The sequence below is a fragment of the Homo sapiens genome, chromosome 16 (assembly GCF_000001405.40).
Source record: "Homo sapiens chromosome 16, GRCh38.p14 Primary Assembly".
NCBI lineage: Eukaryota > Metazoa > Chordata > Mammalia > Primates > Hominidae > Homo > Homo sapiens.
The window spans coordinates 84870778-84887455 of record NC_000016.10 but is presented as its reverse complement, the minus strand read 5'-3'; the positions used below and the strand labels follow the sequence as shown (position 1 = coordinate 84887455).

The window sequence follows — 16678 nt, the reverse complement described above, 5'->3', positions numbered from 1 at the left end:
GACCCGTTGTCTACAGGGCACGAAGACGGACTCCGGTCTTGCCTCCATTCACAACCGAGTGATGTCACGGCCGTGGCTGTCAGTGGACTGAGCCCCCAGGCACTTTGTGGTTCAAGGGTGGGGAGGGTGAACGGGGCAGACTCCCCATATTCTGTCCTCCCTGCACGTGTAGTGTAGAGACAGAGGCCACCACCAGCAGGTCTGAGCTTAAAAGCTTAACCCCCACCAATGGGTCACTCAGCAGGAGGGCGGGGCTGGGCTATGTCACCTCTGAAACGCTCCCCTCTGCACAATACCCGAGCCCCAGGGGTCATCGGGGAGAAGATGAAGTCCCAGCCACTGGTTCACCAAGCTGGTGCCTCCTTCAAGAAGAGAGCAAGACATGGTGGAGAAGATGAAGCTGGGATGATTTCATTTATAGGAGGCATCCAAAGAAGTCAAATTCCTGGAGACAGGAAGTACAGGGGCTGGCGGAGGGGAAGCGGGAAGTTGCAGTTCAGTGGGTACAGGGTTTCAGATTTGCAAGACAAAAGAGTTCTGGAGGTCGAACCCATTACAACGTGAATATGCTTAATGCTAATAAGCTGTGCACTTAACAATGGTTAAGAGGGTAAGTTTAATGTTATGTATTTTTTTGTCGGGGGACAGGATCTCACTTTGTCACCCAGGCTGAAGTGCGGTGATACCATCTGGGCTCATCAGAGCTTTGACCTTCCGGGCTCCTCCCACCTCAGCTTCTCAAGTAGCTGGGATCGCAGGCATGCGCCACCACGCCTGACTAATTTTTCCATTTTCTTTAGAGATGGGGTTTCACCATGTTGCTCAGGCTGGTCTCAAACTCCTGGCCTCAAACGATCCTCCCACCTTGGCCTCCCAAAACCTCAGGATTACAGGTGTGAGCCATTGCCTGGCTTATGGTGAATTTTTTTTTTACTACAACAGAGAGGGGAGTGGGGAGCTACACCCAAGCTCAGGGAGCCATTGCAGAAGTAATCAGTGCCCCCTCGAGAGAGGCCAGCCCACCACCATCCCTGGCACAGTCTCATAGCTCCTTTGTCCCGTCCTTACCACTGTCCTCGGCCCATCCGGGGGCCCCGGAAGCATTGCTAAAGCCAAAGAGAGCCTGTGTCTCAGGATCCACTGTAAAAGCACAGTTTGTCTGGAAAATGCACCCTGAGCTGCCCTTTAAATGGGACAAGCAATACAATCTAGCAGGTTCCAGGCATGAGGGAATGAAGAGAGGCGGGCTCTTTGAAAATACCAATTTGGCCGGCGCGGTGGCTTACACCTGTAATCCCAGGACTTTGGGAGGCCGAGGTGGGCAGATCACCTGAGGACAGGAGTTTGAGATCAGCCTGACCAACATGGTGAAACCCCATCTCTACTAAAAATAGAAAATTAGCTGGGCATGGATCAAGATGAGCCTGGGCAACATAGCGAGATCTGGTCTCTACAAAAAATTTAAAAACGTTAGTCAGATGTTGTGGCACATGCCTGTAGTTCCAGCTACACGGGTGGCTGAGGTGGGAGGATCGCTTGAGCCCAGGAGGTTGAGGTCACAGTGGGCTGTGATGGCACCACTGCACTCCAGCCTGTGTGACAGAGCTCCAGATCCCATCTCAAAAAAAAAAAAAAAAAAAAAAGAAGGGATCCAACATTCCCACATTAACAATCATAAGCCTATTCAGAAAAATAAAAAACAAAAGAGAAAAGTGGAGCCAAAACACACATTCATATCAAAGACCTGAAAAGTGGATTTCCTGCTTTCCAGGATTCATTTACCGAGTAACTGAAGGCCACTTTCTAAAAACTCTGTGCTAACATGTCTTCATCTTCTTCAATAAATAAACTAAACGGATGAGGGCGGGGTTCCTTAGCCCAAAGCGGGGTCCCGGGTATCTGGGAGGCCCTGGAGTTGCAGGCAGAAGGCCGTGGACCTGCAGGGGCTGATGTCAGCACAGGACACAGGAATCCCCTCAGCCCTAGGCAAACCGGGGATGGCCGGCCTCCCTGTCTGAACCAGGACGCATTTTCCCCCTTTGGAGGAAAGATCCACAACTTCTCAATTCTCAAAGAGCTTTGTGCCCTGCTAAAGACTAAGGAGCAATAACTTTGCATCCATCTCAAAGAGAAGCGAGGAGACTTTAAGATGAAGCGACCATTTCAGAATTCCTCTAAAATCGCCGTGAGCGGGGGCGAGTTTGGTAAGCGAACACAATTAAGCTCATTGTTCTTTCCGGCAGGCGGAAGCCTTGGTGCTTGGATACGTTCTCACACTTGTGCTTGTTTCAGAATCCACCCCCGCCCCTACCCGAGGGCTGGAGCAGATTTTTGGGTCCCACTGTCAGCGTTCAGGATCAATGGTTGATTGGAGCCAGAGAATCTGCATTTCCAACAACAACAACAAGATGAAATAAGACCTCCAGGCTTTCTGTCTCTCTCAGCATTGCTCGCACTGCCAACTGCTGCAGTACCAGGAGCAAGGCCCAGGCTGTTTCCCAGTGGAACGCCAGGAGGGACCCATCCCTTCGGTGTCACAAACTCAACCTCTAAAAGCCCTGGCGGGGGAGGGGCACCCTCCTGGTTGAGAGCTGCCAAGAGGTTCTGGTTGGCAGCCCCAGAGGCGGTGCTTTGACTCAGTCCCTGGAGGATTTCTGGACACAAAAGTGACACAAAAGTTTTCTGTGATAACATCAAGCTGCAGGGCGTCAGTACGAAAAGCTCACACCCATGGCCGGATCTTTCTCACTCCACAGGCCCGGTACCGCCCCGTTATCAATATGCACATCTCCCACGCAAACACCTTTCCTCCTTTCTTCCTTCCTCCACACCTCTCCTCTCACAGGCTTCAGTAAAAGGGACAAGGCATCCAATTCCTCTCCTCAGGGCCCACTGCAACAGGAATACCTGAGTATTTACTAACAATTGACATCCATGAAGCTGGTAACCAATCCTGCATCCAGCGCCGGCTGGCTGTGTGACTTGGGATGACCTGTGTGAACCCCAGAGCCCCGCCTTTCTCCATATAAAGCAGGGATGGTCACAGGTCATATCTTTACATGTCTTTGTTCTATGCATTTCACGTGCATTGACACAGTGATCCCAGTAACTCTGCCGGGTAGGTGTTGTCATTATCAATCGCTTTGAACACTCAGGTGACTGAGGGGCAGGGGGGCTCACACCTTGCCCCAAATCACTCAGCTGATAAAGATCAGAGGCGGGACTGCCACCCGGAGCCAGCAATCTGTCCACTGTCCCACCTAGGGTGATGACAGTGAGGAAGAAGAGGGTTACTGTGAAGATTAAAGAAGGGCTGTGTGTGGTGGCTCACGCCTGTAATCCCAGCACTTTGGGAGGCAGAGGCAGGCAGATCACTTGAGGTCAGGAGTTCGAGACCAACCTGGCCAACATGGAGAAACCCTGTCTCTACTAAAAATACAAAGATTAGCTGGGTGTGGGTGGCGGGCACCTGTAATCCCAGCTACTCGGGAGGCTGGGACAGGAGAATTGCTTGAACTCAGGAGGCGGAGGTTGCAGTGAGCCGAGGTCACGCCACTGCACTTCAGCCTGGGTGACAGAGTAAGACTCCGTCTCAAAAAAAAAAAAAAAAAAATTAAATAAGACCCCAGGCTTAACGCAGGATGGCACACAGCACATGCTCAGTAGGCGTCAGTCAAGACAAATGCCACCTCCATGATTGTCATAGTCACCACCACAATAGAAAATTCCCAAGGGATTGTCATCGCTAGCCCAGTGGTCCTCAACATGCAGTTCCAGACCAGCAGGTTCACCTGGGAACTTGTTGGAATGCAGATTCTCTGGATCCACCCAGCCCCACTGATCCTGAATGCTGAGGGTGAGGCCTAGAAATCTGTTCCAGCCCTCAGGCAGGCGCGGGGGTGGATTCTGATATGTGCACAAGTGTGAGAACGTATCCAAGCACCAAGTGGGATGGGGAGGACAGAAGACTGAGGTTCAGAGGAGGGGAAAGGTTGCCTGGCTTCCCACAACTGGCAAATGTCACCGCCGTGGCTCAGCTCCCTGGGCCACACCCCGATGCTTCTGTCTGCAGCTCACCACACAGCGAGGGGTCTGCCAGGAAATGCAGTCCTGGTGAACAGGCGGGAGCCGCAGGCAGGAACAGGCCCTTTGAAGGTCTGGAGGCAACTCTCCCAAAATCAATCTCTTAGCTAAATAGACATTTTCCAAAAGCCATCATCATTTCCCAGAATACAGTGACCTAGAAACTGAGGCCAGAAAAGAACCTCTCACACGGAGGTGGCTTTCTTCCTTCCCTCCTTCCCTCTTCCCTCCTTCATTCTTTATTTTTTTTGAAGAGCTACTTAAGTACTGAGTACTGCAGTATCTTCATTTATTTATTCCTCCAACAAACAATGATTGTCTGTCAAGCCCTGTCATGAGCACAGTGGTCCCAAAAGCTCAAAATCCTAGTGAAACTTGTTAATGAAGACTGCACATAGCTTTTTCCCCTCACGCCTGTTCATATCAGTGTAGCTATGAATGCAGGTAACATCAAGCAAGGCAGCATACACCAGGGAAAGAGCAGAGTCGAAAGCCGGACACATGTTCACCTGTTTGTCACCTTTGCCACGTGCTCACTGTGTGGATTTGGACAGGTTACTATGAGCCTTGTTTTCTTCCTACAGGAATAAGGATAACGATACCTAGAGACGGTGTTTTTAAAGAAAGGACCTAAAACATAGTATGTGTTGAATAAAAGGTAGCCTTCTGGCTGGGTGCAGAGGCTCATGTTGGTAATCCCAACACTTTGGGAAGCCAAGGTGGGTGGATCACCTGAGGTCAGGGGTTCGAGACCAGCCTGGCCAACATGGTGAAACCCCGTCTCTACTAAAAATACAAAAATTAGCTGGGTGTGGTGACGGGTGCCTGTAATCCCAGCCACTCGGGAGGCTGAGGCAGGAGAATCTCTTGAACCTGGGAGGTTGCAGTGAGCCGAGATCGTGCAATTGCACTCCAGCCTGGGCAACAGGAGTGAAACTCTTGTCTCAAAAAAAGAAAAAAAAGTAGCCTTCTATTGTTGCAAATATCCATTAAGTTCTTGCTTTTTTTTTTTTTTTTTTTTTTTTGCTTTATTGGTTTAGCTGCTATATTGTTTGGTGTGTACAGTTTTTATTCCTTTTCCTGTAAATTGTATCTTCTGTGCCATTGTGTAACATTACTTTGTCTCATTCAGTACATTTAACTTTAAATTCCACTTTTTCAGAGAGGAATATTGCCACTCTTGCTTTTCATGTGTTTGTTTGTATTTGGCTGGGATTGCTTTGCCCAGCTCTTTATTTTTAAATCATTTGAAAACCTCAGCCTCTGTCTCTTAATGGTAGAATTTGGTTCAAACATTTGGTGTAATAATCGACAATATTATTTTACTCCTTCATAAAAATTCTAACTCTTATAACTCAATTTTAGCTGAATCACTTTCAAGAAGAAAAAAAGACCCATTTAAAGAGGAAAGAAAAAAGATGGGGGGAGATAAGCTTAGTCATGAAGCCTGCTCTGACCTTACAGAGCCCAGTGACCTCATATTTACAGGAATCTGGAACACATTAAGGCAGACAGAGGCAAAGATGATGGCGGGGAAGCGGGAGAGAGCTGTAAAGGAGGGGATGATGACAAGCAGCTGAGTAAAGCTCTATCTGGAGGCCGGGTGCAGTGGCTCACCCCTATAATCCCAGCACTTTGGGAGGCCAAGGAGGGAGGATCGCTCGAGCCCAGGAGTTCGAGATCAGCCTGGGCAACATAGTGAGACCTTGCCTCTATTCAGAAAATAAAAAAATAAAAAACATTAGCTAGAGATGAATGATGCTGCCCTAATCACAGAATTTTAGATCTAGAAGATTCCCTGGATTTGATAATCCCGGTTCTGGGCCGTTCCGCCACAAGGAAACAGCTTGACAAGATCACACAGCCTGCTGGCAGCAGAAGTGGGACCACAGTCACATTGTCTGGGTCACCATGTCCCCAAACCCTGGACAACCAGAGGGAACAGACAATGTTCTGCAGGATCCACCTAAGAAAAACCGGGCTAAAGCTCCCTGGTTAAAATTCGGAGGGAAAAAACAGAGGAAGAGATTGGTATAACCAGAGTGGCTATCAACAAGCAGTAAATTAGGGTGGTCTGTATTATCTTCTTTGTGCTTTTAGCTAAGTGTGTGCATAACTGAGAAGAAATACAGTGCGTGGACCAGTTTCTATAAATGCATCCGGAGAGCTGGGAAGATGACTAAATAGCCGGAAAAATGAACTATCTGAAGCATGAGAGCCTTCAAACTGCGAAAACATTTAAGTAAGGCCAGGCACTCCTGAATCTGCATTTGTGAGGACAGGTAGGTAGAAGCACTACTATCTCTAGAAATGGGGAAATGGGGAAAATGTTTGCAGAAATGAGTGGTCTAAACTTAGCTAAGAGGTTGGCCGGGTGTGGGGACTCACACCTGGAATCCCAGCACTTTGGGAGGCAGAGGTGGGCGGATCATCTGAGGTTGGGAGTTCGAAACCAGCCTGGCCAACATGGTGAAACCCTGTCTCTACTGAAAATACAAAAATTAGCCAGGCATGGTGGTGCACTGTGTAACCCCAGCTACTTGGCAGGTTGAGGTACAAGAATCGTTTGAACCTGGGAGGCAGAGGTTACAGTGGGCCAAGATTACTCCACTGTACTCCAGCCTGGGCAACAGAGTAAGACTCCATCTCGAAATTAATTAATTAATTAATTAATTAATTTAGCTAAGAGGCACTGGAATAAAGTTTCAAGTATCCAGATCTTGGAGCTTGCATGTTGAGGTCTTTAACAGGCTTTGCGAGATAGTTGTTGAAAATGCATCCTACTCACATCTGCATAGATGTTGGTTCCAAACACCGGAGCCCAGTAGGAAGGTTCGTCTTTGCAGTGTGCCGGACAATGGATTCTGAAAAACAGGAAGCATTTATGTGATGGGTCTGAGCACAGAAAACCAAACTTCTTAAGCTGGCTCTCTTTATTTGAATTCCAAGATTTAAGTTCGTAGATGAAAGGAAACCGCCATACAGTTTTCCTCATTAAGAAAAAAAACAATACTTCTCCCCCCTCAGCAGAGGTAAAGATATTACTATTTTTGCTTCTCTTAAACAGTGTAGATAGAATTTTTAAAAACACACACACATCCACAAAAGACATGCACAAACAAAAAGGTAAAGAGAATAAAAATCTAAGAGAGAAGAGTGTGGAATTGTGAGGCTGCCCCTCCCATTCTTGGATGTTGGCTAGTTCACACTGTGGGTACATTATGGAGATTAGCATCAAGAGACTTTTTCTAAGGCCGCTTCCCTGTGTGGAGGAGGAAAGGGTGGAGGGCCCTCACCTCGCTGAGTCACAGAATATTCCAAGGCGGGGGCACTGATAACCTGGGGTGGAAGGGGTTAGATCACTGTGTGTCAGTCACCACAGATCCTCCAGGGCATGAGGAAAGCACCTCAAACTGGAAATGGGTGACCCCTGGGTGGTTTGACAAACTCAAGCCAGGAAAGAGCACGGGCTTTACTTAAGAAAAGATCTTCTGTGTTTATCTGGAACAGTCCACCGTGGGCTGGAGCCCAGGGACCAAGAAACCAAAATGGCAGCCGGAAGCCATCTGGCCCCAGGCAGGCAGGATTATGGGAAGGAAGAAGGCCAGGCAAAGGGACTGAGAAGTTGAAACAGTTCTTAGGGGCTGGGAGGAAGGGAAATGAGTGGGTAGAGAGAAAGGGTGTGTGTGTGGATTTAAAAAAAAAAAAGAAGGCCAGGTGCAGTGGCTCACACCTGTGATCCCAGCACTTTGGGAGGCCGAGGTGGGTGGATCACCTGAGGTCGGGAGTTCGAGACCAGCCTGGCCAACATGGTGAAACCCCATCTCTACTAAAAATACAAAATTAGCCAGGCGTGGTGGTGCAGGCCCGTAATCCCAGCTACGCGGGACGCTGAGGCAGGAGAATGGCTTGAATCTGGGAGGCAGAGGTTGCAGTGAGCAGAGATTGTACCACCGCACTCCAACCTGGGCAACAAGAGCGAAGCTCAGTCTCAAAAAAAAAAAAAAAAAAGAATTGGAAAGAGTCTAAGAACAGTCTCCATTCTTTCCTACTTCTTTTGGAATGGCAGATCAGAAATTAACATTTTGCATATTGCACTGTGTCAAGTTTTTCTGTTTGTATTTTCTGAAATTCTTTCCTTCTGCTTCTCTCTAATATTCAGGGAAAATCTACTAAAAGGCTGTTATCCCCACTCGAACATTCAAGGGGGATCAAGACGGTGGTGCGGAGGCAGTGGAGGCCCAGAGAAAGCCTGAAGTGGGGTGGCAGTCAAGGGAAAGCAGTCTGGGCCCCTCCCAACCAGTCACCCTCCTGGGCCTTTCCCTGCTCGGAACCTTGGGGTCACCACCTATTGTCCCTTGGAGAATCCACAGGTCTCCAGCCCAGGATGAGGGCTCATGAGGGCCACACCACCCAGCCTCCAGGGCAGCTGTCTTCATCCTCAAAGCATTTCAACCCAGGGTCCTGGGACTGTCATTCTATTTCTAATTCTACAATGGAGCTAAGTCAGAAAGCGTGCTCTGTTTGAAGGGCAGCTTAGCATTACAGATGTATTATATGATCTGAACCCTGGGGAACATCTATAAAGTGGGGACGTCCCAGAGACCTGCGGCCTTTTCCACCTGAGAAGGTGCCTCAGCCGATTCAAATAAGAGGATGTTCCTGTGTTCCCTTCCCAAGAGGATCTACCAGGAACTTCAGCGACAGCTGTTCCCAGGACACCCTTTATTTTATGCTGGGAGGCATCGTCCTCCGTGGACCACTCATTTGGGGTTAGCTGCCTGTAGAACCGATTCCTGGGACAAACCCGTTGTCACGTATCCACAGAATGGAATGCTGCATGAGGATTTGAAAGAATAAACAAACACGCTCCACAACACGGCTGAGTCTCCAACACATGACGCAGAGTGAGAAGCCAGACACCCAAGACCACACCCTGCCACGGCGCCATAATTTTGCTGAAAAAGCAAAATCAGAGCAACAGAAAGAAGCTCCCTGGTGCAGGGGTGTGGCCGGGAGCTGGAGGGAGAGGGACTGGCCACCAGAGCAGTAATGACATTCGGTGCTGACAATGTCTACACTTTGACGGGTGGTGGTTGTGACCCTGTATACCTTGGCCAAAACACATTGTGTACTTTTTTCTTTTTTTGAGACGGAGTCTCGCTCTGTCACCCAGGCTGGAGTGCAGTGGTGCGATCTCGGCTCACTGCAAGCTCCACCTCCTGGGTTCACGCCATTCTCCCGCCTCAGACTCCCGAGTAGCTGGGAATACAGGCGCCCGCCACCACGCCCGGCTAATTTTTTTTTTTTTTTTTTTTGTATTTTTAGTAGAGACGGGGTTTCACCGTGTTAGCCAGGATGGTCTCGATCTCCTGACCTCGTGATCCGCCTGCCTCGGCCTCCCAAAGTGCTGGGATTACAGGCGTGAGCCACCGTGCCCGGCCACACATCGTTTACTTCTAATGGGTGGATCGTATCATTTACCTCAATAAAGCTGATTTTTAATTTGTATTTTATTTATTTTGGGACACAGTTTCACTCGTCACCCAGGCTGGAGGACAATGGCGTGATCTCAGCTCACTGCAACCTCCGCCTCCCAGGTTCAAGCAATTCTCCTGCCTCAGCTTCCCAAGTAGCTGGAATTACAGGCACCCACCGCCATGGCTGACTAATTTTTGTAATTTTAGTAGAAATGGGGTTTCACCATGTTGGCCAGGCTGGTCACGAACTCCTGGCCTCAAGTGATCCACCCGCCTCGGCCTCCCAAAGTGCTGGGATTACAGCTGTGAGCCACCTCACCCAGCCTAAAAAGCTACTTCTAACATCTTCCATAGAAAAGATGACAGATCAGGCCCGCCTTACCTTGGGCAGTGAGTTGCTGGCTTTTCAAACGGGCACAGCTGAGCAACGGTCGTGTAGCAGTCCAAATCCTGCACTGTGAACAGGAGCAAGGGGGAAAGGGTCAGGTCCCAGCACGCCTGGGCCTCAGGCTACCAGGCTGTGCAATGGGCCACTAGACTACCAGGGCCTATGGGTTCCCTGGGCCCTTGAATAGAGCTGGGACTACGACCCAGCAGGCTCCTCGTACCCCACGTAGGGGCACTTAAGAGATGAGACCAAACCCACGGCCTGCATGTGTTGGCGGGTTGAGGGCGTTGTCACCCCCAGTGGTTTCTCTGTGGGGCTGATGGTGCTTTTCATCTGAATGGTGACTTTCTTATTTGGAAGCTTTTCCTGACTTGATCACCTTTGCTCCTCACAGCAGGTGTTACTCTAAGTAGGCAGATGAGGAAATGGAAGCTCAGAGAGCTCAGAGTGCCCTTCCCAGGACTGAGGTGGGAGCCCAGCTTTCCAGTGCCTGCTCTAGAGCTCCTTCTGACATACCACCTACCTCCTGCCGCTAATCAAGGCACATTCATCCCTGCTGAGGGGCGAGGGGCTTTTATCTTCAAGGTCATTTTGTTGTGTTTAAACAACACAGGTAAGGAAACAGTTCTAATACTGGCCACCTGTGATCTCTGACAGCATGTCTTTATTTAGTTCAGGGCTAAGTAAACTTTTTCTTTTTCTTTTTTTCTTTGAGACAGAGTTTTGCTCTTTTTGCCCAGGCTGGAGTGAAACGGCACGATCTTGGCTCACTGCAACCTCCACCCCTGAGTTCAACTGATTCTCCTGCCTTAGCCTCCCGAGTAGCTGGGATTAGAGGCGCCTGCCACCACAGCCAGCTAATTTTTGTATTTTCAGTAGAGACAGGGTTTCACCATGTTGGCCAGGCTTGTCTCGAACTCCTGACCTCAGGTAATCCACCTGCCTCAGCCTCCCAAAGTGCTAAGATTACAGGTGGAAACCACTGCACCGGCCTTTTTTTTTTGAGACGGAGTCTCACTCTGTCGCCCAGGCTGGAGTGCCATGGCATGATCTTGGCTCACTGCAACCTTCACCTCCTGGGTTCAGGCAATTCTCCTGCCTCAACCTCCCAAGTAGCTGAGATTACAGGTGCCTGCCACCACACCTGGATAATTTTTGTATTTTTAGTAGAGACGGGGTTTCACCATGTTGGCCAGGCTGGTCTCAAACTCCTGACCTCAGGTGACCCATCTGCCTGGACGTCTCAAAGTGCTGGGATTATAGGCGTGAGCCACCGCGCCCGGCCAGGTAAACTTTTTCTTAAAGGACCATAGAGCAAACATGTTTGGCTTTGTGGTCCTTATGTTTGATGTCAAGATTAATCAACTCTGCTGTTGTAGCAGAGAGGAGCTATAGATGATGTGGAATAGGTGTAACTGTGTTCCAATAAAACTTTATTTACAAAAGCAGGCAATAGGCAGGATTTAACCCATGAGTCATCGTTTGCTGAACCCTGCTGGTCCAGTCTGTCACTTGAACAGGCCATGGTTCTATATAGCTATCCAACAAAGGGGACTGGTTTAGTACATCAAGGGACTTCTATTCAATGGGGAGATCATTCACATTAGGTTTGGAAGAACATTTAAAGCAAGGGTGTCCAGGCCGGGTGCAATGGCTCACGCATGTAATCCTAGCACTTGGGGAGGCCCAGGCGGGTGGATCACCTGAGGTCAGGAGTTCAAGACCAGCCTGGCCAACGTGGCGAAACCCCGTCTCTACTTAAAAAAAAAAAAAAAAAAAAATTAGCTGGACATGGTGGCGGGTGCCTGTAATCCCAGCTACTCAGGAGGCTAAGGCAGGAGAATCACTTGAACCCATGAGGAGGAGGTTGCAGTGAGCTGAAATTGCGCCACTGCACTCCAGGCTGGGCGACAGAGAGAGACTCCATCTCAAAAAATAACAAAATAAAAAATAAAATAAAAAAAGCAAGGGTGTCTAATCTTTTGGCTTCCCTAGGCCACACTGGAAAAAGAATTGTCTTGGGCTACAGATAAAATATACTAACACTAATGATAGCTGATGAGCTACAAAAAAAAAAAAAAAAAAAAAAAGTCCATGCATAAATCTCATGTTTCTCATGTTTACAAATTTGTGTTGGGCACATTCAGAGTCGTCCTGGGCTACATGCAGCCCATGGGCTGTGGGTTGGACAAGCTTGATTTAAAGGCACAGAAATATATTCCTGACACACACACACACACACACACATATGTATATATTTTTTTGAGACAGGGTCTTGCTCTGTCACCCAGGCTGGAGTGTAGTGGCATGAACATGACTCATTGCAGCCTCAAGTTTCCAGGCTCAAGCAACCCTCCCATCTCAGACTCCGAAGTAGCTGAGATACAGGTGTGTGCCACCCTGCCCAGCTAATTTTGTGTGTTTTTTGCAGAGACAGGGTCTTGCTGTGTTGCCAGGGCTGGTCTCAAACTCCTGGGCTCAAGCAATCCTCCCGCCTCAGTCTCCCAAAGTGCTGAGATTACAGGTGTCAGCTGCTGCATCAGCCAGACACATAATTATTTAAGAAAAAAATTAGGTTACCAAATTGTATGTAACTCCATTTCAAGTTTTAAAAGTCATCGATGTATATATTACCAATGTACATACTTTGAATATGTAGAGAAAACAAACTGGAATATTTGCCAAAGTGTTCACGATGGTTATCTCTGGCTGCTGGAATTTAGGTCATCACTACAAAAAAATGTTCCACTCCGTGTTTAAATTATCTGGAATAAACAGGCATTCTTTTTGCAATAAGAAAAAAAACTACTACATATTTTAATAAAGATATCTAACTAGAACTTTTGCATGAGGGCAAATGATAAGAGTTGCTGTCCCAAAACAAAGGCATGGTCTGCCGGCAGAGCTCCGGGGAGGAAGCTGGAATGGCTCCTACATCCTTGCTTGCCTGAGATTATTCTAGTCAAGGGCACAGTGTGGGCAGCTATGATCCATCCCTTCACTTCTGGTTGGAGTGTGCTCGCCCATCGTGCATCCCACCTTCCAAATGAACATACACTAAGCAATGTAAAAAGCTGGGCCAGAGATGGCAAGTAAGTGCCACACACTTCCCTTCACTTCCCTCTCTTGCTCATGGCAGACATTACTAATCTATCAAGCTCTGTTTTCCACTAAGCCCAGATGGAGGCCTCAGAATCCTTCTTAACACAACACTCCAGGTAGCCATTACCAATCGACAGAAAGTGGCACTCCCAGTGAAACCTCTCAGCCACTTTAGCCCCAGGCATCAGTATGTCTGTGACATTCAGCTGGCAACCTCAGCCCTGTGTTTCTGGTTCAGTGATCTCAGGCCAATTTCCAGTCCAGATATTCTTAGAAGCTGGTTAAAGAGATGACGTCTTGAAAAAGGCTTGACAATGATGAGAACCATAATGTTCACACGCATGATAAACATTAAATCAGCGACTAAAGGAAGTGAAATTTCCAGGAAAATCTGAGATAACCCAGGTATTATGGTCGCAAAAGAGACTGGCTAGCTTACCTTTCACTTTTGACACCATGAATGAGCTGGAAGGTTTGTATTTGCTGTTTAAAAAAAAAAAAAAAAAAAACGGGCATTAGGTAAATGCAAATAGAATTGCTTCTAAAAGTGAACGCTTGCTCCTATACTTATCTTATTTGCAGTCTCGACTTCACACTTTTCTACTTGTTTCCTATCAGCCTGAGAGCTCTTAGAATGTTCTAGACCAGGGCATCTTAACTTTTTTTGTACCAAGGACTCTTCTGGTAGCCTGGTGAGGCCTATAGATCCCTTCTAAGAATAATGGTTTTCAAATGTATAAGATAAATTTAATCTAACCACAGCTGCAAAATAAAGAAATTTTAAGAAGATAAATTTAAAACATTACAAAGAAGTTATTATTAATATCATGATCAAATTATAAAAACACATTTGCATTAGAGTTAGAGCTGTGGGTTTTTTTTTTGTTTTTTTTTTTGTTGTTGTTGTTTTCTTTTTTTTTTTTTTGAGACGGAGTTTTGCTGTGTTGGCCAGGCTGGAGTGCAGTGACACTATCTTAGCTCACTGCAACCTCTGCCTCGGCCTCAAGCGGTTCTTCTGCCGTAGCCTCCTGAGAGTAGCTGGGATTACAGGTGCCTGCCACCACGCCTGGCTAACTTTTGTATTTTTAGTAGAGACGGACTTTCACCATGTTGGTCAGGCTGGTCTTGAACTCCTGACCTCAGGTGATCCACCTGCCTCTGCCTCCCAAAGTGCAGGTGTGAGCCACCACGCCCGGCCTGTGTGGTATTTTTCAAAATTTCAACAACACCGTCATAAACAGGAAAACCGTTTCACAGAGCCCCGATCACAGAGTAGTTACCTGAGGGACTGCACGCCGTGTCTCTCAGACTTCACGAAGAAGGGGACCTTCCCGTTCCTGGTGATATCCACCAGGCCTCCCTTGTCATCCAGGATCCCGTAGTGGATGGCGGCGCGGCATATGCTAGACGACTGGCGGGAAGGGAAGAGAAGACCAGAGGCACATTCTCAACCTCTGTCAGCAAGTTTCACCAGAAATACCCAAACATTTGTCCTCAACTCACTAAAAGCCTGAAGGACAGGCCAAAGCTCACTCTGCTCCTGCCTCTCGCCTCTGTCTGTAACCACATATTTGTTCCTGGGGTTGCTTACCTTAAAAACTCATCTGAGTTGCTTTACAAACTAAGAAGAGTGACAAACATCCCTTTCTCCCTGCTCGGTCCAGTGTGTGAATGCTCAGTCTAAGACGGAGACTGGCCTTCAGGAGGATTGGTCCCCGAAAGTGGCTTTGCTAGTTTGTAAGCCCATAAATATACACCCGCCCCAGTTCTAGAAATGCCAGGTTTGACTAAGGAGTGGAAAGAAAATCTTTTCCTACTAAAGCCAACCACCTGCTTTAAACATATGCAACAGGATCCCACACAAGCCATTGAGAGGAGGACTGGCCACACTCACGCTTTCATAGAACAGAGTTCCAAAGATCTTCGCCTTGTGGTTCAGGCAGCCTGCTGGGCACTGGTACCTGACGAGGAAGAAATAAAATGATGTTCAGAGATAAGCACGTTGATTACATCTCACAATGAGTTTATCATTTTTTTCATCGATGGCTCTATTACTAAATATAGAAAAGCTTCATTCATGTGGATTCCATTGTTTTTGGACAAGTCAGACTTTACCCAGGCGCAGACTGATTCACGCAAGCACAATACAGTCGTCCCTCGGTATCCGTGGGGGATTGGTTCCAGAACTTCCCTAGGATACCAAAGTCTGCAGATGCTCGAGTCCCTTATGTAAAGTGTCCTAGTATTTGCGTATAACCTTTGCATCTTTTCCCATATGCTTTAAAACATCTCTAGATTACTTATAATACCTACCACAAGGTAAACGCTATGTAGATAGTTGTTACACTGTATTGTTTTTAAAATTTGTATCAGTTTTTTATTATTATACTGTAATACCACACACTTTTTAAGAAATATATTTTTGATCTGCAGTTGGTTGAATTTGAGGTTGGTTGAATCAGAGGCCGGTTGAATCCACAGAAATAGAAGGTCAACCATAGTCTTTTTTTTTTTTTTTTTTTTTTTTTTTTTCTCATTTGAAAAAAAACAAGGCCAGGCACAGTGGCTCACACCTGTAATCCCAGCACTTTGGGAGGCCAAGGCAGGTGGATCACCTGAGGTCAGGAGTTCAAGACCAGCCTGGCCAAGATGGCAAAAACCCATCTCTACTAAAAATATAAAAATTAGCCGCGTGTGGTGGCAGGCACCTGTAGTCCCAGCTACTTGGGAGGCTGAGGCAGGAAAGTCACTTGAACCCTGGAGGCAGAGGTTACAGTGAGCAAAGATCGTGCCACTGCACTCCAGCCTGGGCAACAGAGCAAGACTCAGTCTCAACAAACCAACAAACAAACAAACAAAACCCCAAGAAAGAGTCTGACTCCATCACGCAGGCTGGAGTGCAGCAGCGCAATCACAGCTCACTGTAGCCTCAACTTCCTGGGCTCAGGTGATCCTCCCACCTCAGTCTCCCAAGTAGCTGGGACTACAGGTGTGCACAACCACACCCAACTAATTTTGGGGGTTTTGCCATGTTGCCCAGGCTGGTTTCGAACTCCTGGGCTCAAGCAATCCACCCACCTTGACCTCCCAAGGTGCTGAGGTTACAGGCACAAGCCACCATGCCTGGCCTGCAAGGATTTTTTAATAGGGTAAAACTCAATGATGGTGTTGCTGTTCATGGAAGTGTAAATCACTCTAATGTTTAAGAAAATCTTTAAGAAAGACTTAAACATTCATATCCATTAGCTCTTCAGCTTCCCTTGTAAATATATATTCCAAGCAAAAAGTCAAGAAAGCCAGACCTGCAAGCATATCCCAACTATTTATTTATCATTTTTTAATTTTTGAGACAGAGTCTCATTCTGTCACCCAGGCCAGAGTGCACCAGTACACCTCGGCTCATTGCAGCCTCCACCTCCCAGGTTCAAGCGATTCTTGTGCCTCAGCCTCCCGAGTAGCTGGGACTATAGGCATATGCCACCATGTCCAGCTAATTTTTGTATTTCTAGTAGAGACAGGGTTTCGCCAGTTGCCCAGGCTGGTCTCAAACTCTTGGCCTTAAGTGATCCACCCGCCTCGGCCTCCCAAAGTGCTGGGATTACAGGCTTGAGCCACCGTACCTGGC

At 47.6% G+C, this 16678-nt stretch overlaps 1 protein-coding gene across 2 annotated transcripts in view, besides 5 other annotated features; it reads right to left on the bottom strand.

Moving 5' to 3' along the window:
• The window catches only part of CRISPLD2 (cysteine rich secretory protein LCCL domain containing 2), an 89524-nt gene that overhangs the window by 22053 nt on the left and 50793 nt on the right, over positions 1–16678 (bottom strand). For both annotated transcript variants that reach the window (XM_005256190.2, NM_031476.4), the window contains 5 exons: positions 14948–15014; positions 14334–14464; positions 13493–13536; positions 9946–10018; positions 6872–6947 (listed from right to left, as the gene is read on the bottom strand). In XM_005256190.2, the coding sequence (XP_005256247.1) occupies positions 6872–6947; positions 9946–10018; positions 13493–13536; positions 14334–14464; positions 14948–15014 (391 nt within the window). The remainder of the gene's footprint in view (positions 1–6871; positions 6948–9945; positions 10019–13492; positions 13537–14333; positions 14465–14947; positions 15015–16678) is intronic.
• Positions 129–753: an enhancer, noted in NCBI's record as "H3K27ac-H3K4me1 hESC enhancer chr16:84920309-84920933 (GRCh37/hg19 assembly coordinates)". NCBI's record gives its function as "activates a minimal SCP1, AML or CMV promoter by ChIP-STARR-seq in primed H9 embryonic stem cells {active_cell/tissue: H9 hESC(primed)}" and the evidence as "EXISTENCE:reporter gene assay evidence [ECO:0000049][PMID:30033119]".
• Positions 754–1377: an enhancer, noted in NCBI's record as "H3K27ac-H3K4me1 hESC enhancer chr16:84919685-84920308 (GRCh37/hg19 assembly coordinates)". NCBI's record gives its function as "activates a minimal SCP1, AML or CMV promoter by ChIP-STARR-seq in primed H9 embryonic stem cells {active_cell/tissue: H9 hESC(primed)}" and the evidence as "EXISTENCE:reporter gene assay evidence [ECO:0000049][PMID:30033119]".
• Positions 1378–2003: an enhancer, noted in NCBI's record as "H3K27ac-H3K4me1 hESC enhancer chr16:84919059-84919684 (GRCh37/hg19 assembly coordinates)". NCBI's record gives its function as "activates a minimal SCP1, AML or CMV promoter by ChIP-STARR-seq in naive and primed H9 embryonic stem cells {active_cell/tissue: H9 hESC(naive and primed)}" and the evidence as "EXISTENCE:reporter gene assay evidence [ECO:0000049][PMID:30033119]".
• Positions 2004–2627: an enhancer, noted in NCBI's record as "H3K27ac-H3K4me1 hESC enhancer chr16:84918435-84919058 (GRCh37/hg19 assembly coordinates)". NCBI's record gives its function as "activates a minimal SCP1, AML or CMV promoter by ChIP-STARR-seq in primed H9 embryonic stem cells {active_cell/tissue: H9 hESC(primed)}" and the evidence as "EXISTENCE:reporter gene assay evidence [ECO:0000049][PMID:30033119]".
• Positions 6656–7855: an enhancer, noted in NCBI's record as "CDK7 strongly-dependent group 2 enhancer chr16:84913207-84914406 (GRCh37/hg19 assembly coordinates)". NCBI's record gives its function as "activates an origin of replication core promoter dependent on BRD2, BRD4, P300/CBP, MED14 and CDK7 cofactors, with strong dependence on CDK7, by STARR-seq in HCT116 cells {active_cell/tissue: HCT116}" and the evidence as "EXISTENCE:reporter gene assay evidence [ECO:0000049][PMID:35650434]".